We start from the raw sequence: 23908 nt of genomic DNA, 5'->3' as shown, positions 1-23908 counted from the left end.
ATGTGCATTTCTCTGTTAAACACAAAGGGTCCATCTCTGAATGTCCCCTCAGATCCTTGCTTTATAACAATTGCAGTAACTAGTCAGGATGACTAAGGATATAGTCAGTAGGGTCATCCTATTGGTTATCACTGAATGGATCTAGAATGATATTGTTTAATGTAGTAGACTACATGGGAAAATAACTCTACTTTGAACTTTTTAATTTAATATAAACATCCCCTTGTTGCTGGACAACAAGTTTTGTTTACACTGCCACTAACAGAATATCATAATATGAAACATGATATTCATTTGAATATTTGAGGGGTACTTCATTATAAGGGAGTGGGATTCCTTTTCTAGCTTTCTTAGGCAGAGTCTCTCCCATCTACAACAATAAGGCCATGCTCAAGTCTCCAGAACAATGATCATACTGTATTACTATTTTTCACTATGTTTCCAGACAGACTGGTAAATTCCTTTTTGTTTGTTTCTTTTTGTTAATTCTAACGTTAATTGAAAACAGTGGTTTTTGTTGTTGTTGTTTTTGTTTTTGTTTTGAGACAGAGTCTCTCTCTGTCACCCAGGCTGGAGTGCAGTGACGCGATCTCGGCTCACTGCAAGCTCCGCCTCCCAGGTTCACGCCGTTTTCCTGCCTCAGCCTCCCAAGTAGCTGGGACTACAGGCACCCGCCACCACGCCCGGCTAATTTTTTGTGTCTTTAGTAGAGATGGTGTTTCACCGTGTTAGCTAGGATGGTCTCGATCTCCTGACCTGGTGATCCGTCTGCCTCAGCCTCCCAAAGTGCTGGGATTACAGGCATGAGCCACCATGCCTGGCTGAAAACAGTATTTTAAGAGCAATGTTCTGAGCTCTTTTTGAGCTTTAGCTACATGGTTCTTGCATTAACCTATGATGTAGGCACCCTTATAGAATATACAGCTGGTGCTAAATAAGTATCTGTTGAATGAATGGGTAAACAAATTCAGTGTTACAGATGAGGAGAAAAAAATCTGGTTTTGTTACCTTCATTTTCTCTTTTTCTAGCACATGCCTTGTCCATAGGATAGTCAGGATGACAGTGGGAAGTGTCAGACCAGCCTAAGGTTCAAGTTCATCTCTCTGACTGAAAAAGAGCTGCCGGTGATGGAGCTCTGCTTTGAGCTTGGAATAATGCTGGTGCTTTACATGTGTGTTGCTAAGCCCCACTAAAACCCTGAGACATGGGGTATTATTGTCCATATCATACAGGTAAGGTAAGTGACTAGTTTAGACTTGTACAGTAAGTAGGAACAGAGAAGCATTTGGAACCCAGGTTTATTGGCAGTTGAGTCTTGTGCTCTTTCTAGATCCCACAGCTTCCCATTTGTCTTGATAAGAGAAGATGTCTGCCTCTCCGAGGTAGTGTTGTACTGGTTCCCTTCCCTTTCTCCTCAATGACTATTTTGTTGGTTAAAGATAAACTTGGAACATTCTCCACAGGGAAGTGATGGAAGTGTCCACGCTGACAAAATGCTATCATGAAATGCCTTTTTTCTGCCCTGTAATGAAGAGTGTTTCCGAGGCAAATTCCAAGTCGTTGAGTTACTCTTCCACAAGCCAACCATTAAATCTAAGAAAGGGGAGGTGGGGAAGGCATCAAATAAATTTTGAATACAGGAGAGCTTGGTATTGAGTACCTTCAGAAGGGCAGTATGTTGACTTCTTTTCTCTATATAGAACCTGAATTTGCATTGCTCCTGCTTCTATATAAAGCTTTATCTTGGGCTTCATAAAGAGTAGCTATTTTGGGCTAGACACAATGGCTCACAGCTGTAATCCCAGCACTTTGGGAGATCAAGGCAGGAGGACACCTTGAGTCCAGGAGTTCCAGACTACCCTGGGCAACATAGTGAGACTCCATCTCTACAAAAAAATTTAAAATCAGCCAAGTGTGTTGTCACTTTCCTGTAGTCCCAGCTACTCCAGTGGCTGAGGGGAAAGGATCACTTAAGCCTGGGAGGTTGAGGCTGCAGTGAGCCAAGATTGTGCCACTACACTCCAGCCTGGATGACAGAACCAGATCCTGTTTCAGAAAAAAAAAAAAAGAAAAAAAAAAAAGCTATTTTGACTAAACTAGTAACATTTCTCAGGGTCCAAACCTTATGGAACAAAGTTATGGAACAAATTTTCTAGAAAGATCTAATATGCCTCCTCTGACCCTTACACTAAAGACAACAACAAAAAGGCCAGGTGTGGTGGCTCACGCCTGTAATCCCAGCACTTTGGGAGGCCGATGCAGGCAGATCACTTGAGGTCGGGAGTTCAAGACCAGCCTGACCAACATGGTGAAACCCTGTCTCTACTAAAAATACAAAAATTAGCCAGATGTGGTGGTGCACACCTTTAATCCCAGCTACTCGGGAGGCTGAGGCAGGAGAATCACATGAACCTGGGAGGCGGAGGTTGCAGTGAGCCAAGATCGTGCCACTGCACTCCAGCCTGGGCGAGAGAGTGAGACTCCATCTCAAGAAAAAAAAAAAGAAAGAAAAACAACAACAACAATAACAACAAAAAACCCTAAAACATAAAACAACAAACAAACAAAAACACCTCACATGTTTTCTTGAAGGAGTGAAAGTACGAGTTACTGAAATTCATAAGGAAGCATGCCCTGGCTCCATGTCTGCTCCAGTGCTTTCACCCAGGAAGGGCATGGAGTCCAGATGGGGCTTCAACTTGCATCCCAGCTTTGCAGTCCCATCAGGAGGGGCAACAACACTTTGTGTCCATCACAAAGCTTCATACACCCCTTCACTTCTGGTTCACATGAGTGACAATACATTTTCTTCACAGTTCCGGTTCTCAGGGCTTCACATTCTCGTGACTTCAGAGTTTAAAGGAAAATAATCAATGGGCAAGTATGGTGGCTCATGCTTGTAATCTCTATAACCTTTGGGAGGCTGAAGCAGGAGGATTGCTAGAGCCCAGGAGTTCAAGACCAGCCTGGGCAACATGGCAGTACTGCATCTCTACTAAAAAATGTATAAAAATGTCTTTAAAAAAGTAAAAACAAAAGGTAAATAATCACTGAAGCAAAATTCTGGTGGAACCATTAATTTGCTTGTGAATTTGGTATGAAAATATTCCCCACAACCCACAACCTCCTTTTTAGCATTGTTTTACTGCTCCCACTCAATAGTTAGAAGGATCCCGTTTCCCAGGCACTGAGGTCAACGAATAATTATTAAAACACCTAGAATATGCCCAGCATTGTGGTAGGTACTGAAAGAAACTTGGAGAAGTATAAGGCAATGAATGCCCACCCTCAAAGAGCTTAAAATCTGGTTGGGCAAACCTAATTACTGTGTGGCCATAAAATAATATCTAGTAATACAAGGAAGCTCAGATCTTGGTAGGGCCAAATAAGAAGTGAAGATTCTTTCTGTGTTTAGTAAAAAGCCTGACAAACCTATTTTGTGCTAGGACTGGAAAGGCAGAAAGGAATTACTCTCACCTCCAAGTACTTGAGGAGCTAGAATTTACTATTCCTGGATCCTAAACATTTTTACTTCAAGAATCAAATCAAGAGTCATATATTAGCTTTCGGATTGGTCTCTTTCTAATGTTATCTATCCCCAGTCCTATCTCTAATCAGCCATGAGTAAAATAGCCCGAGGAAAGTTTGCAGATGATGGAACCAAGATATTCCCTTGAGTATGTAGGCAGTGGCAGATTTGGTTCTTGTGTTTATGCCTGGTTGAGAAAGACAGAAGTCTACCTGGGGTGAAAAAAAGTGACCTATGGACTGAATTGTTACCTTTGTGTGGCACATTCCCTGTTTCTAGGGCAGCACCGGAGACAAAGAATGCATTTATTTTGTGGAAAGGGATGGGGGCAGGGGAAGAAACAGAAACCAGAGGATTGTGCAATAATGGCATTTTCAAATCCCTCCAGAAAGTTTATGTTTCAAGTCTTTTGGAAAAGTGAAGCATAGCTACTTAAAAAGAAGCAGTTTACTGAGGACCCCAGCCCCAGTTCTGCTGTGCAGGATTTTCCTTGTTCCTAGGCGTTCTCATACCTTCAACCCCAGCTGTTGGGGCAGGCAGGCTACTGTGTCTGGAACCCTGCCCCGGACAGGCCTATGCCTTTCCCCAGCAGAGACCGCAGGCCTCAAATAGCATCTAGGTGTCCAAATGGAAGAATGAGAACAAGGACGGGAGTGAAAAGAAACAGTTTGCTGGATCTCAGCAAAAGAAAGTACAGTGATTTCTGTGTCATCTGCAAACCAGACTGGACTTCCCTTGTTGAAAATCATTCCCAAAACAAGCCCCTTCCTCGGATGGCCAGTGAAAGGGTGATATTAAATGCACAGTCTCATGAATTAAACGTAATTGTGGGGCACAGATTTATCATGCAAAATAAAAAATGCTTCTCACCCACCTAGGTAGTGGGAAAAGTGCAAAGATTGAGTGTAGTGCTGATTGGAAGCCTTTACATCCTGCTGCTGGCTTAATCATCTGCATATTTTCCCTCATGCCAGGGATGATTTGATAGGATATGGTTCAGAACTCTCTCTGGTGCTTAGTAAATCTTTTTGACTGACCGAATGACCTTTGTCTCTTTCCTCTCCTATATTGGAGCCTCAGGAGTGATGGCCTGAACTTTCACCATCAACCTCCCACCAGTGATGTCATCATTCTCTCCTTGCCATCCAACCCCCTGTGTCCCGAATGCCTTTACCTCTGCCCTGTGCTCACAAGGCATCTTCATTCTATTGGACTTTTGTCTTGGCTGTCTGGGCTATCTGTGTCCAGCACACTGTCAGCATTTGGCAAGGTAGAGGCCGAAAGGGAAGACAGCAGTATGGCTAGTGGTTCAGAATTAGGACTTTGGAACGAGACATGTCTGGGCTGGCATCCTGCCTCCATATCTTTACTGTGTAATCTTAATGTCAGGAACCTCAATTTTTTCACTTATGAAATGGGTATATAAGAGCACAAGCCTCAGAGAGCCATGAGATTAAACAAGGACTTACACCACAGAGTGCCTGCCTAGAATAAGCCTTCAGTATACAATAGTTAAGAGGTGAGAGGCTTTCATAGAACATAGGTACCCTTGCCTTTGAAGCCCCTTATTCCTTAAAAAATATTAAAAATTATATTTTATGACCGTGTTGGCAAAAAGATAAATTAATATATTTTGAAACAGTTCTTTAACCTAAAATCTTATTTTTTTCCTTCTGTTCTATAACTGTTGTGAGCCCTGGGCACTGTGTGTCCCATGCCTAATTGGTAGGTCAGCCCTTGGGTGAAAGATTTGTTTTGGAGATCCTTCCCTTTACCTTTCCAGTATCATTAACTGTTTTCTGGAAGATTCAGGCCCTGCAGCCCCTCAGGATATTACTACCCTAATACTTCTCCTTTCTCCCTTCTCTTTTCTTCCAGCCACCCAAAAGGTCCACAGTGTGGAGCTCCCAACTCCCATAGTCCTGCCCCCATCCTTCTCTATTTAAACCCTTGCCTTTATTCTCTACCATTCCCCTGGTTAGGTCTTGTTCCCTTAGAGCTTTATTCTTGTTCTGGTAAGTTGGCTTTGAATTTTCTCATAAGCTATTTGTCCTTGAGGTATTATTGACTGTTTTCCTCCTCTGTTGCTTCTGGAGTATTTGCATCTTGAGAGACTCTATACCATAATTCAAACCATGTATCTAATGAAAGAATTTTAGTCCAGCAAAGGAGATATTTCAAAGCAAAAAGTGATCCTTGAGAATCATTTAGATTGTATGGTGCTGGTGCCAGTAGCTTGGTGCCTACTGCATGTAGGCATTCACAGTGGGCCTCGGTGATATAACTAGATTAAAAACTTCTAGAAGGCAGGGCACAGCCTATCCCCAAAATTCTCTTGGTAAAGTATCATGCCCAGTGAAGTTTTGATGGGTGTCTTTTATCCTAATGGAATCACACATGACTTCTTCTGTCCCCCATCTTAAGGAATCCCTCCAGCTGTGCTTGGTGGTGACCTTACACCACCACACATAGTGCCTGGAACACAAACTTCCCTCCTTTAGTGCTTGTTATTTTCTGGCTTTGGGCAGGATAATGATCTCAGAGATAATCCCATTTATAAAGGAGAAGAAAACTGTGGCCCAGAAAAGTTGAGTATTTTCCCTAAAGTAACAAAACAAATTAATGGAAGAATCGGGACGAGATCCCTGGCTTCCTGAAGACACAGGTGTAGGTACCATTTACCTCTGTCAGGGCCTAGGGTGTCACTTACTACAGAGCACAGGCTGTGCAGTGGGAATGTGTGGTTTGATTCCTGACTTCATTGCTTACTCTGTCTGTCCTTTGAAAAGATACTCAACCTCTAAACCTGTTTTCTCATCTGCAAAAGCGGGGAGGGGAAGAAATAATATCAACTTTATATAGAGTTGTGAAGATTCTGAGAGTTGTGAGAGTTAAATAAGATTATCCACATAAAGTGCTTAGTACGATGTCTCACATGCAGACCTTCAATAAATGACTCATTATTATACAATTATCACTAATTCTATTACTGTCTCTACACTCCTCATAGCCTAAAGAAAGTGTGAGTGCTGTTTCCCAGAGCGCATACTGCACTGCCCAGGGAGTGGCCAGAGCAGTGAGAGAATCTGGCTGAACAGGTTTTTTCAAAGCAGTGGAAAATAAATCAAAGGTGATAACCCAAATTCGGAAAAAGAATGTACTCCTTTGTTTGTTCTTTCCTAGTTGTGAAAGAACCTTCAAAATGCAATTTATGCTGAAATAAATCAGAAGCAACATGGCTGACTCTCTCTGGTCTGTGTTCTTCCTGACCCCATGAGGATAGACAGTGGTAACTCTGAGTTTCTGCTGGATGTGGTGATAGCTGACCATGTTCTGTGATGATGTCTACACCAGTGAGTGGACAAGATTAGGAGTCAGCAAATCATGCAGAGACAGCAGAGATGTGGGGAGAGGGGAAGCTTCACACCCAGGTACAAAGCATGCCTAGCCCCTTGCTGCAAATTGTTCATCACTAAATGTGAAGTCTCAGGCAACTTGGTTAGAACTCTTTGTTGAAAGTAACAGATGCCCAATTTGTATTAGCTTAAGCAATAGGGAAATTCATTATAAAGATTCCATAATGTATCAAAGAAAACAAGCAGAGCTGACCTGGGATTGGAAACAAGCCCCCGAATGGTATTAAAACGTGTCTCTCCTCTGCTTCATTTTTCTCTCTTTCTACAGATTTGCTTCCTCTATGGCTCTAGTTAACACAATGGAACAACAGCTCACAAGTTCTGTAGATACAGCCACCTAAAGAGAGCCTGGTCTCACTTTCTCCAAATCCAAAATTCCCATGGAAGGGAGTAATTGCCCTGTCTTGGGTCAGGTTCCTTTCTCTGATTACCAATCAGCAATGATATAAGGTTATAATCTGTTGTACCAACATGACACATTCACCATAACTATTTACCACCTGTGAGTGAGAAAAACTACAAATAAGGGATGATTGAAACAAATATTGATGAGCCAGATGACAAAAAGCAGATTTTTCCCACTCAGCTCTATACTGCATCCTGGCCATTCCCATATTCCTCATCATTTTACCTGAAATCTAGGATGTCTCTGTAGTTACTGCCCCTGGCCCCTTTATACTAGGTTGATCCTAGCCCTGAACAAACTAATTAGAGCATGTTAGAGTGTAAATGACATATGCTTTAGAACCACACAAACTTTGAGTTAAAGCCCACTTGCTAGCTGTGTGACCCTGGGCAAGTTACTTAGTCTCTCTGAGTATTGCTTTCCTTATTTATAAATTAAGGGTAATAATACCTTTCTAATGGGATTGTTGTGCAGATTAAGGGAAATAAAGTAACCATATTCAAGTGTTTGATATGTAATATATACTCAGTTATGTTAATTTCCTTTTCTTGATTAGTCTACCTAGAAATCTTCAGGCAGGTGAGAGAGCAGCCATAAGTGAGAAGAGAAGATAGGAGAAGTGATAGAATTTTCTATCTAGGAAATGTTTTCTTGCCTCGTGTATTTTACAGTTATGCTGAGAAAACATTGAATAATTTCAGTGGGTCTGCAGCACTGGGAAAGCCACACTTTGGTAGATATGGTCTCTCACTTCAGAGACAAATCAACAAGGATATGAGGACGAATGATGAATGCTTTATGTTTCTTTTTTAATGTATTAGTGTGCTTATATGGCCCTTAAGACTTTCTCTGTAAATTTTAAGGCTCATAAAGTATAATCTGATTGCTAGTTTGTGAATGAAGTACTTTAACAGTCACAAAAAAACTTAAACATGTTGCTGTTTAGACAAGCTCCCCTTTCAGCATGTAGTAAGCCATACTTTTTCTACAAATTGTTGTTTATTGAGTTGTTACTGTAACAGGCACTTTCTAAACTTTTATATGCATTATCTCATCCCTTCCTGTGAGTTAAGTGCTATTGTCCCCATTTTCTAGATGAGAAAATTGAGGCTCAGGTAAGTTGCTGAGGTCACATAGCACCCAGTGACAGAATTGGCACTTGAGCTCAGTTTTGTCTGCTTCCAGAGCCTAAGCAATTAACACTTTCGTTTTGGTAACGAGATTTAGTTACAGGAAACAGAAGAAATGAATTCCCAGGAAAATCAGTGCTTAAAGTATCTCATATGAGGAATGATCATCTCATGACTTTTGTGTGTCCACATAAGGTTGCTACATAGGCTTGGATGCAAAGCAGTGGAATTATAGGAAGAAAAGTAGATGAACAATAATAGCATATCTCCTTAGGCCTGAGAACTATTCTAATTACTTACTTAGAGGATAATAGTGATGAAGGGGTTGGGTCTGTGAAAAAAAAAAGAAACTAGAGATTTGTTCCCAGCTTTAGACTTGTGAGTGTTTTCTATCTTGCTTAAAATTGTGCACACTCTGATCATCTGTAGCTGCGAGGAGTTGTGTGTGCATGCATGTGGAATATTTTGGCTTGCTCCAGAAAATAACAATGCTTTAATCTTAGGTACTGTGAATAACTTCTTATGATATTTGAAGGAATCTGTATCCATTGACCTATGAACCACTCATGGGAACCACTGATCTCTAACCTAATTGATCTGCTCCTCCAGAAATATTTTATTTTGTTGTGTTTGTGCTACTGAGAGTTTTATTATAATCCAGATTGTGCTTCATTTGTGCTCTCTCTGTGCCATTTTTTTAAAAAACTGAATCTTGTGTGTAAATAGAAGAAACATTTAAATATCACATCACTTTTTATGAGAAGCATCATTGGATTCATATTTCTTATTTTTCCTTTTTATTCCCTTCTGTCTTTCAGCTCCAGGGTTCCTTGAAAAGAAAACAGGTAGTTAACCTATCTCCTGCCAACAGCAAGCGACCCAATGGCTTTGTGGACAACTCATTTCTTGATATCAAAAGAATTCGTGTTGGGGAGAATCTCTCTGCAGGACAAGGTGGCCTCCAAATAAACAATGGACAAAGTCAGATTATGTCAGGGACCTTGCCTATGAGCCAAGCACCCCTGCGAAAGACTAACACTCTGCCATCCCATACACATTCTCCTGGCAATGGCCTGTTTAACATGGGCTTAAAGGAGGTAAAGAAGGAGCCAGGAGAGACTCTGTCTTGCAGTAAGCACATGGATGGCCAAATGACCCAAGAGAATATTTTTCCTAATAGGTACGGAGACGACCCTGGAGAACAACTGATGGATCCTGAGCTGCAGGAACTGTTCAATGAACTGACCAACATATCTGTGCCTCCCATGAGTGACCTTGAACTGGAGAACATGATCAATGCCACCATAAAGCAGGATGACCCATTTAACATTGACTTGGGTCAGCAAAGCCAGAGGAGCACACCTAGGCCCTCCTTACCCATGGAGAAAATAGTGATCAAAAGTGAATACTCACCGGGCTTGACTCAGGGCCCCTCAGGCTCTCCTCAGCTGAGGCCCCCATCAGCTGGCCCCGCATTCTCCATGGCCAACTCTGCCCTCTCCACTTCGTCTCCAATCCCTTCAGTCCCTCAGAGCCAGGCTCAGCCTCAGACAGGCTCCGGAGCAAGCCGGGCCTTGCCAAGCTGGCAGGAAGTATCCCATGCCCAGCAGCTCAAACAGATAGCTGCTAATCGTCAGCAGCATGCCCGGATGCAGCAGCACCAGCAGCAGCACCAGCCTACCAACTGGTCAGCCTTGCCCTCTTCTGCTGGACCATCACCAGGTCCATTTGGGCAGGAGAAAATCCCCAGCCCTTCTTTTGGTCAGCAGACATTCAGCCCACAGAGCTCCCCCATGCCTGGGGTAGCTGGCGGCAGCGGCCAGTCGAAAGTAATGGCTAACTACATGTACAAGGCCGGCCCCTCAGCCCAGGGTGGGCACCTAGATGTCCTCATGCAGCAAAAGCCTCAGGATCTCAGTCGAAGTTTTATTAACAACCCGCACCCAGCCATGGAGCCCCGTCAGGGCAACACCAAGCCTTTGTTTCATTTTAACTCAGATCAAGCGAACCAGCAGATGCCTTCTGTTTTGCCTTCCCAGAACAAGCCTTCTCTCCTACACTACACCCAACAGCAACAGCAGCAACAGCAGCAGCAGCAGCAGCAGCAGCAGCAGCAGCAGCAGCAACAGCAGCAGCAGCAGCAACAGCAACAGCAACAGCAACAGCAGAGTTCAATTTCAGCTCAACAACAGCAACAGCAGCAGAGCTCAATTTCAGCCCAACAGCAGCAGCAGCAGCAACAACAGCAGCAGCAGCAGCAACAACAACAGCAACAACAGCAGCAGCAGCAGCAGCAACAACCATCTTCTCAGCCTGCCCAATCTCTACCAAGCCAGCCTTTGCTAAGGTCACCTTTGCCACTTCAGCAAAAGCTCCTACTTCAGCAAATGCAGAATCAGCCCATTGCAGGAATGGGATACCAAGTCTCCCAACAACAGAGACAGGTAAGGGCTCTACTACTCCAAATACAGAGTTCCCAGAGACCATTTAGCTTGATCTTTATGCTGTGGTTACCATTATGTTTGTATTGGGACAAGATCAAGACCAAAGACAGTAGTGGTCTTGATGGAGTCATATGAAGACCTCATAAAGCCTGGTTCGTTGAGGGCATCTAGAGGCAAGGACTAGTACTTCCCTGTAGAGCATTAGTATCATTGTGATCTGTAATGATCAAAGGTTCTTGCTTACTCAGAATAGAGCATTATAATGTATGCTGTTAGTGACATATCCAGTTGTCAATCAGATGGTCACTTATCCAAGCAGTAAATTAGTCATTAAGTCAATGTGCACTTGCTGAGTACCTACCATGTGCAAGATGTTGTTATTATGCTGAGTATTGAATAAAGCTGGAGGTGGGATTGAGTATTAAATGACTGATCTACACCTGCACCAACCAACTGGAATATTTAAATGCCCAATGATCATAATGATCCTGCGATGACTCCCTGTGATGCATGTGGACCGAATATCAGCCTGAAATAAAACATGATCCCTGTCTGCAAGCACAGTAAGGAAAGGGAGACGGGATTTTTAAACTACCATTTCAATGCTAGGTATGAGAGCACAGAGTTTGGGTATCTTACCCGGCAAAGGGAAATCAGGGAAGGCTTCTGGAAAACCAAAGTCTGAGTTAAATGTTAAAAGATGAAATTATCACGACTACAGATAAAAAAAATCTCTGGTAACCTTACATCGTTTGGTTAACATAAAACAGAGGTTTATTCCGCCCCAAACGTGAACAATATGAAGGCATAGCTCTGTGCCTCCAGAGCACATATTGATGAGTAAGTCCTGATCCCCAGGGAACCTAAAAGAAAAAACTCTTTCTGGAAGGAAGGAAGGAACTTTGAATATAGCTTTGTGCGTGTAATTTGACAGGTCTGCGTTATCTATCTAAGCACAAAGATAGCACATTATATGTCAAAAAATTATCTCAGGACAGTGCGATGGTGCAGATCCTAATTCCAATAACATTCCTAGAGTAGTTTTCGTGGCTATTGCCCAGAAAAGAATGCCACAAACACCACAAACTCTGTCCAAGCTAACCTTTGCCCTAGTTGTTGGCCAAGAGAACACCAGACTCAAAGAGGATTCAAAAGTTATGCACTAAGCACAGCTTTCAGCCCTTTTCTACTTAAGAAGTGTGTTTTTAAAAAATTATAGATTTTGGAGAATGGACTTGGAGTACAGACATATATATACACACATATGTTTTTTTACAAAATTCCTTTTTTAACCCAGGGAATTTTGGGAGCATTTAAAAACAAGTCGTAGAACTATTTTCTAATGCTATATGCAGGCACTTTGATTTGGATGAATGTAGGTTCAAATTCTTACTCTGACAGTCTTAGCTGTGTCACCTCAAGGGACTCACTGAACTTCTCTAAGCCTATTTCCTCACCTATCAATAGGAGTGAAAAGAAAATCTCCTAGGAGTGTATTGAAAATAAAATGAGGTAATTCTCAGTCCAGAGTCTAGAATAAGTTGATTACTATAATGATTATGGAAAGAGCCATAAATCACCAAAATGTTATTTTTAAAAAAGCACTGCTATTTTATAGGAGAGGCATTGGAGTAAATCCCAAGTTCTAACATAACCAGTATCGGGGAAATAAATAAAAGAGAATTATCTCTAATTTTTCACTATCCAGCAGCTTGAGTGTATTGCAGTTTACCCTTTCTAGGCCCAGACTTCTGACCATAAAAATGGAAATTATAAATAATGAGATAGCAATGAGTTAGCATTTATAACCGGCATGACTTCTGCCTCCCTTACTTGTGGCATCTCATTTCATCCGTATGAGGGAAATGCCATTATTTCCATGTTACGAGTAAGAGAATTGAGGCACAGAGAGGTTCAATAGCTCTGGTGCTGACGGCCAAATCAACAAACATGTTCCAATGCCTTAGATAATTTTTTACATTCTCCTAGGGCATATGACATATATGATACAGAGGTAATTTTCATCTCTTCCAAAAGGCCCTTAAAAAGTGGTGGAAATGTGGCAGTATTTCAAGTTAAGGGCCTCTCTTCGATACAGGGAGTAGCCACCCATTTAAAGCTTTATCCCAGCTTTATAGACTGAACCACATTGTCCCTTCCAGATCAATAATTCTATAACATATGATCCCAAAATCATGTGGCTGAGTTTTAAGCAAGTATACTTCAGCTGTGTAGTCAAGTAAGTATTGCCCTTTGGAAAGCATTCACATTTAGGAGGGAAGTATACACATTCTGATAATGATGCTATTGTTCAATACAGCTATAGAATTTTCTCTGGGGATTGTCTCTAGGGCTTATAGCACATTTGGTAGATTATTACCAACACAGTAACATTCATCCTATCAGGGCAATTTTTGCAAACAGTCAAGTCAGGTAATGCTGCTTTGGGTCAAAACCAAGGGGTAACTATGATGTGACAAGGCTGCATTGCAAGTGTGGTGTGTGAGCTTTCTCTGAAGGCAGTTAAAGAAAGTGAGCTCCTTCTCAAGATGTTAATTTTGGGAAGCAACTTGTATTTGATATACATACTTCTAAGGTTCTTCTGATTCTCGTTGTCTCATCCAGTGTGTTGGCATGTATTCTCAACTCAGAGTAGTTTTAACTCTTCCATCTATAATAGACAGTACAAATGTCTGTTCTCATTCCAGAACAGCTAAATCTCTGTTACCGATGACCAAAGTCATGGGTAGGGTGGGGGATTTGGAGTTAAGCAACTCTTAAATTTATCAACTGAAACATCTTAAAGGAAAACACTAGTCATGTATTTTTTTTTTCTGCTTGTCATACTCACTTTGTGTCAAACAGGACGATTTACTGTGGGATTTGTTACTTGAAGCTCTTTAGCCTGATGAAAATCTTGGTTCTCTGCTACAAATTGGTAGACTAAATTTGTTGATCAGTTGCTTGCAGTTCACCTCATAGATATGCAAGGTGACCTTCCCTTTACCTGTCGGAACTCTGAACCCAGACAGATCCATATTTGCAGCTAGAGACTGAATGTGGGCAATTCCTGTGCCCCTTCTCTTTTACTGTGTACCTACCTCTATTTTCCTACAGGTAAATGATGCCTGAGAGATGGATGCAGCATAATAAAATTGTTTAATAAATCCTTATTGCTCCATGTTTGGGGTGGTTTTAAGTAACCTCTTCTCCAGAGATGGGGAAAACAAATGCTATTTGGTGTTTTACAAAATGTCTATAGCAGACTCTTGTCTTGCTAATATTTGTAGCTTGGCACATGGAGATACCTCTTGGCTATAATTTTCTTCCCTTCCTGATTTGAGGATTATGGGATAGGGCAAGACGGGGATGCAATGAATGCATTTCTGATTTATCTTCAAGTCAGTGAGCACTTACTTAAGTTGTGAAAGAGTTATTGGCTGATCAGGGCTCATGAGGGTTTAAGCCAAAAGTGCTTACCTCTTGAACCAAAAAGTGATCTTTTTCAGAGCTATATAATCAGTCACTTAAAAGTGTGAATTTTTTTCTAACATTGGATCCATGCAACTCAAGTGGATTCTATATTTGGCTTAGAATTCTCCCATATCTAAAACTTCTTGGAGGGAAGGCAGCCAGTGAATGGATGGTTTGTTATGACTGAAACATAAATTTGTACATTGCCTCCTTAGTTTAAAGCCAAGTTCCTCAATCATATATTAATAACCTCACCCTACTCTCTCTTCCTAGCCAAGTTTATCCTTCTCTACACCATATCAACCCTTGGTGTAAATCAGGCACATCTCCTAATGTTCTCTGCCCCACTTCTTTAAGGTAGTATTGTATATATCTAATCTTAAGGATGAACACACAGAAAATTGTTTCCAAATTGGCCTGGGTGGCAGTGGGGAAATCAATGTAACTTTCATATGCTGACAATACCTCTAAATCCTTATAATTGTCCAATGAAAGGGCCAGAGAAGAAATAGAAATCTTGTATCAGCTGGAAACGCCTTTTCCAATGGGAAAATAATCATGAATTTGGTGTTTTGCAATAGTATGATATCCAAGCCACTCCTTTGCTGGATCCTAGAGGTTGCCTGAAGGGTAACCCAATTAGGCTGGTGCCAGAGTTTGGGTTCATAGGCTAGAATAGGTTAGAGGAAGTCAGGAGCCTGGAGGGCCAAAGTAAAACCAAGCCAAAGTCCTAAAAAAGCTGAGAAACAAAATTTGTCAGTATATTCAGAACAAAGAAGGAGGCTAAAAAAATGGTGACATACCTGCGGTCAAGGGTAAATATAATGACATGAAATCTATAGTGAAGATGGGATAGAGACTCGAGAGATGGTAGGTGATCACTGCAAGTGACTCTTCACCATTTGATGATTTCTTTATAACTCACCTTGGCTGACTCTTGGCAAAAGGGAACAAGGTTGATACAGACATACTGTGGGTTGTCTGTGGGAGGCCAGGAGCATTATGTTTACATTTTCATTTTATTTTTGATATTTCACCATTTATCTTTTAAGTTACAAAGGAAAGAAAAATTTGTCTTTAATACTCCGTGAAACTAGTGCTTGACTAGAATGTAGAGTGAATTTCCAGATACATATGTTGATATAATTAGTATTGAAGAATCATAATTGGAAAATTAGCAGGAGGAACTTGGTGTCTTTTTTGTTCTTCTGTCGTTATTCTGTTGGTTGGTTGGTTTTAACATTAGCACTAACTTTGTGCCATATACGAATAACTCAAATGGTAGCTATAATCAACCGTTTTTCACAGGTGAGGACACTGATGCTCAGAAAGATCAAATCACTTGCTCAGGGTTATGGTTAGTAATTGGCCTGATTTTACAGTCAGGGCTCATAATTACTATGCTGCCTAAATTAAGGAAATAGGTAGAGGTGGTTTGGGTTGTGCTGTCAGGGCCTTCTTTATGATATATGTTTGAAATTTCACTGTTTTCTACAGTCCCAGGCAAAATCACCACCTCGGGAAAAATTTAGGTCAATTCGAATGTAGGGAGGGATCTTTAGTCAAATTCACACTGACCTTGCCTTATCTGAATCCACAGATCTCTCAGTTTCCTGATATGCCTACCAGGAGCCATGAGCTTACTGAATATTGCTCCATTCTTAGCTCTAGCTAAGCTTCTATTCACTTGTTTAAAAACATATTTATTGTGTGCCTGCTATTTGCCAAGCACAGTTCTGGATTACTGATGCTACACCTGAGATCAAATAAGAAATTGTGGTGCAGTAATGGAAGTGTAAAATTTTCAGAGTTTTTAAAAAATTAAACAATCAGATTGTTTTCAAATTGAGCTATTTTCATCATATTGCAGGCATATTCTTGTTTCTATTGCTAGGCTGATTTGCTGCTGGGCTTCTTGGTACCTCTGTTCCCAGATTAAAATGGGAAAAAAAAAACACAAGGAAGTGAGAATGCAGTTTAATTTTTAAAGCAAACATTTCTGGAGTTTTGTTAGGTATTTTACATAATAAAGAAAATTCATTCATTCTCTTTCTCTTTAACATCATCCATTCAAATTTAAGAATCTTTTCAGGATTACTGTTAGAGTTTCACAATGGGATGAAACCATAATTCTTGCCTTCATTCGTTCATATGATGAAAATGTATTGAGCACCTACAATGTGCCAGGAACTGGGGATTAAAAGATTAAATGACCCCCTTCATACTCATATAATCTCAAAGATCAGGAAAACATGGTTCCTTCCCTGGCTGAGCTTTTGATCTGAAGGAGGTATCTGTCCTTATTACTTTGTGAATTCCCATTGAGTAATTACATTACGTTTTCTCAATCCTTAACAATCCATTCTATATAAGAAGTGAGCAAAAATCATGTGGGCATTTCCCCTAAGTCAACAAATTTCATTTTAAACATGTTTTTTAACCTTTCACAGAATAGAACTCTCTTTGCTGGATATTCTACTTTATTTTCTATTTTATTTTGTTATCCTAGTATGTAATAGCTCAGAGCACAATGGAGTGAATTTGTGTAAGGCAACAATTAACTCCTCTTTCCCTCCATAAAGAAATGAACACAATAACAAGAAGAACATGTTAGCCTTGGGATCATAATACATACGGTTCAACTCCACAGTTAGGGGAATGGCTTCTATTATTCTCATTCCAAGGTCTTTGTCTGTGTGTCACATCCATCAATAAGAGCTGTGCATTTAAAGCATTAGTGGGTAAGTTAGCCTGTTGAATACCAAGTTTCCAACTAGGGAAAGAAGGGGTGTAGGGTTAAGAAATAGATTTGAACCTGGAGATGGAAATGCAAGAGGGTTAATGGAAAATCTGACAGATATTTAACTGTAATGTGCATTAATGTAGGTGACTCAAACAATCCCCTTTGCACTCATTCTAATTAGTTTTGCCTTTTCTAATCAGATGTCAGTTGTTATCAGTTTGGTAGAAGGGGGTGGTGGTTCTTTTTGTGAAATCCAAAGGAGGCAAAAACCCATTTAGCCAGTTCACTAATCAGTAAATTTGCACATTAATGGTTAATTAAAGTTAGGCACAAAGACTTGAGATTCAGAAGGTGTTTACTATAAGGAGTTCTGGGTTTCAAACAGAAGACCGTACAAATGTTTAGACTAGTAGGATCAGAGAAGTGTAATGTCAGTGAATCATCTTAACCCTTTTACATTGTGTCTCAAGCAGGAGAAACCAAACTTAAACACACACACACACACATACGCATAGCCTAGGCAGCTCTCTGGATACTAATTAGAGAACTCTGGCTGAATGTTTGCATTTGATGCAATGAATCTGAACAATAAAGTGGTGCCTAATTCTCCAAGCAATAAATTAAGTTGAACATAATAGAGGGAAGCCAATGACTGCTTCCCTGTGCATCCTGCTAAATCAAGTTTTCAAGATCCTCGATGATGAAAGAACAGGGGTGGTTGACCTGTTTCCCCTTCATTCTACTGTGAGTTCTCTCCACCCTTAACCACTAGCATTTTCCACAGTTTGCTTTTCACGGGCTCTTAAGTTCAGCTCCACCTTTATGAAACATGAATTTCATAAACAGGGAGCTTACTGGGTCCTGCTTGGTAGTCCACAGGTCTGTGTGGGTGAGCACAGGAGTGTGTGTATCGCACTTTCTGGTCTTTGGCTCACGTCTCTACTGTGTGACTCTGAGTCTTTGTCCAGTTCTTTCTCCCCTTGGCTGTACTCTCTCTTCTTTGACCCTTTCCCTGCAGACCAATTTTGAACCAGCCTCTTTGCCCTGACTGACTTAAGACTGTTTCATCGCAGGCCTTGAAAGGTGGAAGGGTGGGGACATGTAGCCGCTGGAGTTATTATTGGCAACAGTGGTGAAGGGATGTTCCCATGCTGGGAAGAGGCATGAGGCTAATAAGCTGGCCAGCCCATCTCCACATCCCCCAGTCTCTGGATGGACATGCCCTTGGATAAAACATATCCAGAACAGCTTCTGACCATTGTTCCTGCTTGCCTCTCATGCTTGCTAACTGGCCTGCCTCCTTCCAGTCTTGCCAACATGAAACCAGAGTGAGCATTCTAAAATAGGAATTTGATCATGTCATCACCTGCATAAAACCTTTAAATGGCCTTCATTTTCTCAGGAGAAAGTCCAACTCCATAGGCAGCTTATAAAGCCCTGTATGATCTGAATCCTGCCGAAGTCTCCAAAGTCATTGGTTTTCATTCCCAGCCTTTCTCTTCCCTTGACTCCTACCCATTCACCCATCCTCTCCCCAAACTCATATACACTCTACACTTAGCAACCTTCATAATAAATGTCCTCCAGTTCCTGAGAAGTGTCATGCTTTCTCTCACCCCCAGGTCTTCAAATACGCTGTTCCTTCTGCCTGGAACACTTCTGATCTACTCAGCTTGGCTAACCTAATCCTAAATTTTCTTCAGTCTCAGCTAAGACTTCATTTCCCCCAGAAGGTTTCCCTGGTCTCCTAATATGGATTAGCTCCCATCCTATATGGTCTGGTAGCTCCCTCTGCTTCTTCTCTTTGAGCATGGATTACCTCTCATATATCTTTGTTCTTGTGAATCTCCCCCAACTACACTGCAAGCTAGTTGAATACAGGGGTGGCATCTGTCTTATTCACCACTGTATTCCAACCCCTAACACATCTACTATGTTGCAGGGACCCAAAACTTAGTTGTTGAACATGTGGACAAATAAATTATACCATTGACTTATCGTCCTTTCTTCTGTTCTGGGGCTTTAAGAGCCCATCCCCTCCCCCAACAGAAGTTAGGAACAGGAGCTAGCACTTCCACCTTCCTCCATACCAAGTCTGCTCTCTAAACAACATTTGCCCATGGACCTAGTCTTAGTTTGAGTCCTAGTCCTTCCAGTTCTAGTCAGAGCTGGAAAGCAGAGAATTCCCTCTCAGCTGCCCCATGGATCAAATCTATGAGATGTGATTCTGAAGAGGCCCTATTGATGGGGGCTGGACTGGCCTATATGCTGGGGAAATCATACGGATAAAAGTAAAGTAAGAGAGTTTCACTGAGGATACTCCAAGTGACTTTTTTTCTCTCATCCTGAAGGCAATGGAAAGTCATGAAAAAAACTGCACAGGTAGTTTATAAGCAGAAATATAACTTGTACCTGGCAAAAGGTAATCACTTAATTCAAATGCATTGAATGTCAGTGAATCAAAATTGCTTTGTAGAAAAGTCACTCTAGTAGCAGGATAAAGAACACACTGGAGGGGGGCAGCTCCTACCGACATCAGAATGTCAAGAATTCACCCATCCTCTGTCTCATTTTCTCCCTTGCACCCCACGTGCCACTTCTCAGAGGCCAACATTGAACTTCAGCTCTTGCTCCAGGAGATGTATTCCATCAATCATTGTATCTTACATCTTTACTCTCTCCTTTCTATCTTCAATCATGTTCAAACCCCAGCATTCTTCAAAAATGACTTTCATTAACTCTTGTACCCCTTTGAGCCCCGTTTTGAACCAGGCTTAGAACCGTTGCAGTCAGCATACTTCCTCTCTCCCTTCCCAGGTGCTACTGCCGACACCACTGCATGACCATCCACGTCTCTGCCTCCACTGCTGCTGCCTTCGTGCTTTGATACTGTAATTCTCCTTTTTACCTCCTTCTTTCCAGCTACCTTGTCCCTCCAGATGGTAGTTGGACAGCGTGTCTAAGCAATTCTGCCTTGCTCCATACTCCTTAGGGATGAGGCCAGTAACTGGCGTTCTAGTTATCTCTATTGCTTTTGCCAGACCTCCTTCCTGGAATTGCAGCTTTACCCCAGATACAATCATTTCCTGGGGCTCGACCTCACAGCGTCAGCTCTCCTCCCTATGAATGCCTTTTGCCCTACCACTGTCTGATCCCTACTGGCTGTAACATCCTGTCCACTTTGTTAGGCAGTTCTGCTGGTATCTTGGAACCCCAGCCCTTCACTCTCTCCATCCCCTTCCCTGAGTGTCCATGTTGCTATAATCACTCCTTTTCATGAAACAAAGTTAGTTTCTTCTCCCTCTAGTACCCACAGCACAGTGCAAACCTTTCAGTATAGTTCTTACCATACTGTATTATAATTTCGTTTAGGTCTCTGGTCCACCGAACTGTGAACTCCTGGAGGGCTGGGACCATGACATTGCTTTTTCCCCTCTCTGAACTCACAAAGCATTTTGCATCTCTCATTACATTCATTGCTTTCTACCTTGAATTGTAGTTAAGTCCATACCTTAACCCATCTACTAGACTTCAAGCTCCTGGAAACCATGTCTGTATGTAATTGATCTTTGTACCACCAAGGGCAAACACAGTGCCTGAGAGAAAGTGTCAATATACAGGCAAAGAAAAAAAGGCAGGACAAAGGAAAGAAAGAAAAGAAGTTATGCGATGGGGGTGTGTGTATATGTAGGCTGTATAATCTTGAAATCAACGAAAATGAAATGGGTTTGAATAATTTTATATGAATTTTAATATAAAATATACATTATTGAGAATTTATATATTACTTCAAAACTGTTGCAAATATCTTCATGTCCATGTGACTCTGGCCAACTTACTTAAATTCCCTGAAACTAAGCTGTGTCATCTGTAAAATGACAATGACAATACCTGTTTTTCAGGATTGTTGAAAATTTTCCATGGTGCATGAAATAACCCATGAGATATACAACGAACACAGGGCCTGCGCCTTGAAGGCAATTGACAAACGTTAGTTTGCTTCTCATTGCAAATAAGCACCCTCCGATAAAATAATACAAATTAAATATTAGTAGAAACTTGCAATGGGTGATTTTCAAAACTGAGCCCTCATTTAACTCTGAGTTTCCAAGCAACTAAGGTCAAAAGGAAGAATGTGGGAATACAGAAGTTTTTTTTTTAAATATATGAAAACCATACACATTCATTAAATGGAGGCAAATTTTTCCTGGAAATAAATTCAAAGGTACATTTATCATCAGGGGAATTAGGTAACTTGATGGACATCTTCCACTGGGAATTTTGGAAAGACACCATGACACTGTTGACTTTGATGTTTCTGTTTTTAAGCTGCATTATAAAATCTTATATGAATATTATAAATATTCATATTCATAATGAATATTATGCTTTAATTCAGTATTATACTTTAATTCAGTAAAGGCTTTCCTCCAGGAAGCTGAGATAATGTGGTTATAGGTATAATGTTTTCGGAAGATGTATTTCAATAGTTTTCACACTTTCTTTTAGCAAGAACACGTCTTTCATCCCTTATCCTCCTCCCCACTCCCTCACCCCCTGCCTTTTCAGGATTTTCCTAAGGCACCTCCCAGAACTTTAAGTTCCTTCAGGACTTAGTTTGCAAACCAGTGTTGTAGCTTAACCCATGAAGAGGGCATACAGACCTTATAGGAATGCATAATTAAAATGCCCATTATATTGCCTCACTCAAATAACAGTTTTCTCAAACGAGTCTCTGGCAAACCCATGCATTATGTAAAATGGATTAGACCTGAGGAGTGTCTACCTCAGAATCAGGTTCAGGTTTCAGGGCCAGCTTTCTGAAACCTTTCAATATGTGATAATCTTACTCCTTCAGATAGAACAAAACTATGAACTCCAGGTATGACGCCTGCACTTCCCAGACGAAACTCATTCAAAATCACCATGAAGAAAAAACAATTCAGCAATTGGTGTAGTTATTTATCATTCGGCAAATACTTAATCATTGCCTATATGTGGCAAACCATGCCAACTGCATGAGAAATGTAATAACTGGGGTATGCTGTGTGGTAGGAAGAGCATGGGAATGAGAGACGTAACACAAGAAGTCTGGACCCAAACTTGCTGCTAAGGATTTTACCTTGACTCATCAGGCCTTGCTCACTGCCTTTGTTACAATTTTATTCTATTATTTTGAATTTTATGATTCCAAAATGCAATTACTGTCTTCATGTTTAAATTTGAGTCTTACCTTTATCAAAGTAACACGTAAATATAGTTTGAAAAGACAAATCATATTAAAATGCAAAAGCTATTCCCTGGCCCCTTTTCCCTCACTCTTTTCAGTCTCAGGAGGAAACCACTTTCATCATTTTTAGTTGCTTCTCCTGGTATTTACCATTATGTGCCTAAATGCATCCATACCTGATACCTCTTGATTTATTAACTTTAGGCCGTATCCATTACATCTTATTATAGTAGATGAAGATTTTAGTTCTATTTTCAACCCTTTCTTCCTCTTCCCTTTAGCCACAATATAGTCAGATAAAAAATTTAGATAAGTGTTTTCAGAATTTATGAAGGGATAAATAGTATTTACTGCTGAGATAAGCAGTACACTGTAATTATAATTCTTATCCAGGGGTCATATACCTAACTTTTCTTTCATTTGTGAAGTTTCCTTACATCTCTGGCTGTCATCTCATACCATCTAACAGCTCTGTGAAACATTTCTCAATATGTTTTCCACACTGATACATCTCATCTCCACAGCAGCCCTCTGTGCCCAGCCACAGCCTTAATGGGTGTTCCCTAGGCCTGCTGATACAGCTGTCGTCCTACGACTTCCTGCCACCATATTTAGAGTCTCTTCACTCCTTTCCTTGATCAGGTTCCCTGTTTCTGGATCCCTTTTGTCTCTCTATTTGTTTGTTTACTCTCTCATTTTGTTGCATTTCATCTGATGGTCGCTTCCTGACCAAGGGCGTGTGAAGGGGAAAGTGTTAGAAGCTTCCTAGGTGTCTTTGGTGCCACAGAGTATGCAAAGAAGGGATAAGGAGGTAAGCCTCATTTGTTGAGCACCTACTATATGCCAAGTGCTTTCTCCATGACATTTCTAGGAAATAGAAATAATTTTCTCCTCTTTGCAGATGAAGAGGTTGAGAGTGGAGTGGCTTAGTAATTTGCTTAAGGTTAAGCAGGTGGCAGAACTGGAATCCAGATCCATGTTTATCTGATTCTTGCCATTCTCCACACACCGCATCTCTCAGCCAAAAAGCTTAAATACACAATCCTTGCCCTCAAGGAATTTGCTCAATCATGTGTTTAATCCAATGTCAGATAATTGTTATTTTTCTGGGCCTATTTTCTCCCTTTTCACATGTGTGTGTAATATACATGTGTATGTATATAATTTAAGTCTGGTTAAAGACTTAAATTATTTTCATAGTCCCAAGTACATCAAGTTTTATTATTAGATTTTCCATGAAATTCTAAAATAGTTATTTCTAAAGGAGATTTCAGATTTTTATTCCCCTATTTATTAGGTATTAGGCAATTAGAGTCTGATCTGGTTACAACTGAAAATATGTTGGTGGTTTTGCCCTTCTCTCTGGTGAATTTTGGTTTTTATGCCAATCAGTTCATTTGCTGACATTTATCACATTTAGCTCCTGCCTAAAGGACTTTCAGAATTACAGGTGGAAAATTCACTACGTAGAAGGAATGAAGCACACTTCTTACTGCTTGCTGTACCAGCAGACTACTCCAAGCTCCACACCTTAA

The 23908-nt window shown here is 40.9% G+C and overlaps 1 protein-coding gene across 3 annotated transcripts in view, besides 1 other annotated feature; it reads left to right on the top strand.

The window, feature by feature from the left end:
- The window catches only part of MAML2 (mastermind like transcriptional coactivator 2), a 366598-nt gene that overhangs the window by 240378 nt on the left and 102312 nt on the right, over positions 1-23908 (top strand). For all 3 annotated transcript variants that reach the window (NM_032427.4, XM_011543023.4, XM_047427710.1), the window contains exon 2: positions 9301-10926. In NM_032427.4, the coding sequence (NP_115803.1) occupies positions 9301-10926 (1626 nt within the window). The remainder of the gene's footprint in view (positions 1-9300; positions 10927-23908) is intronic.
- Positions 6739-7033: a silencer, noted in NCBI's record as "tiled region #5330; HepG2 Repressive non-DNase unmatched - State 15:Elon". NCBI's record gives its function as "represses a minimal TATA promoter and a strong SV40 promoter by Sharpr-MPRA in HepG2 cells {active_cell/tissue: HepG2}" and the evidence as "EXISTENCE:reporter gene assay evidence [ECO:0000049][PMID:27701403]".

The sequence above is a fragment of the Homo sapiens genome, chromosome 11 (assembly GCF_000001405.40).
Source record: "Homo sapiens chromosome 11, GRCh38.p14 Primary Assembly".
NCBI classification, from domain to species: Eukaryota; Metazoa; Chordata; class Mammalia; order Primates; family Hominidae; genus Homo; species Homo sapiens.
This window is presented reverse-complemented; position numbering and strand designations above follow the sequence as displayed.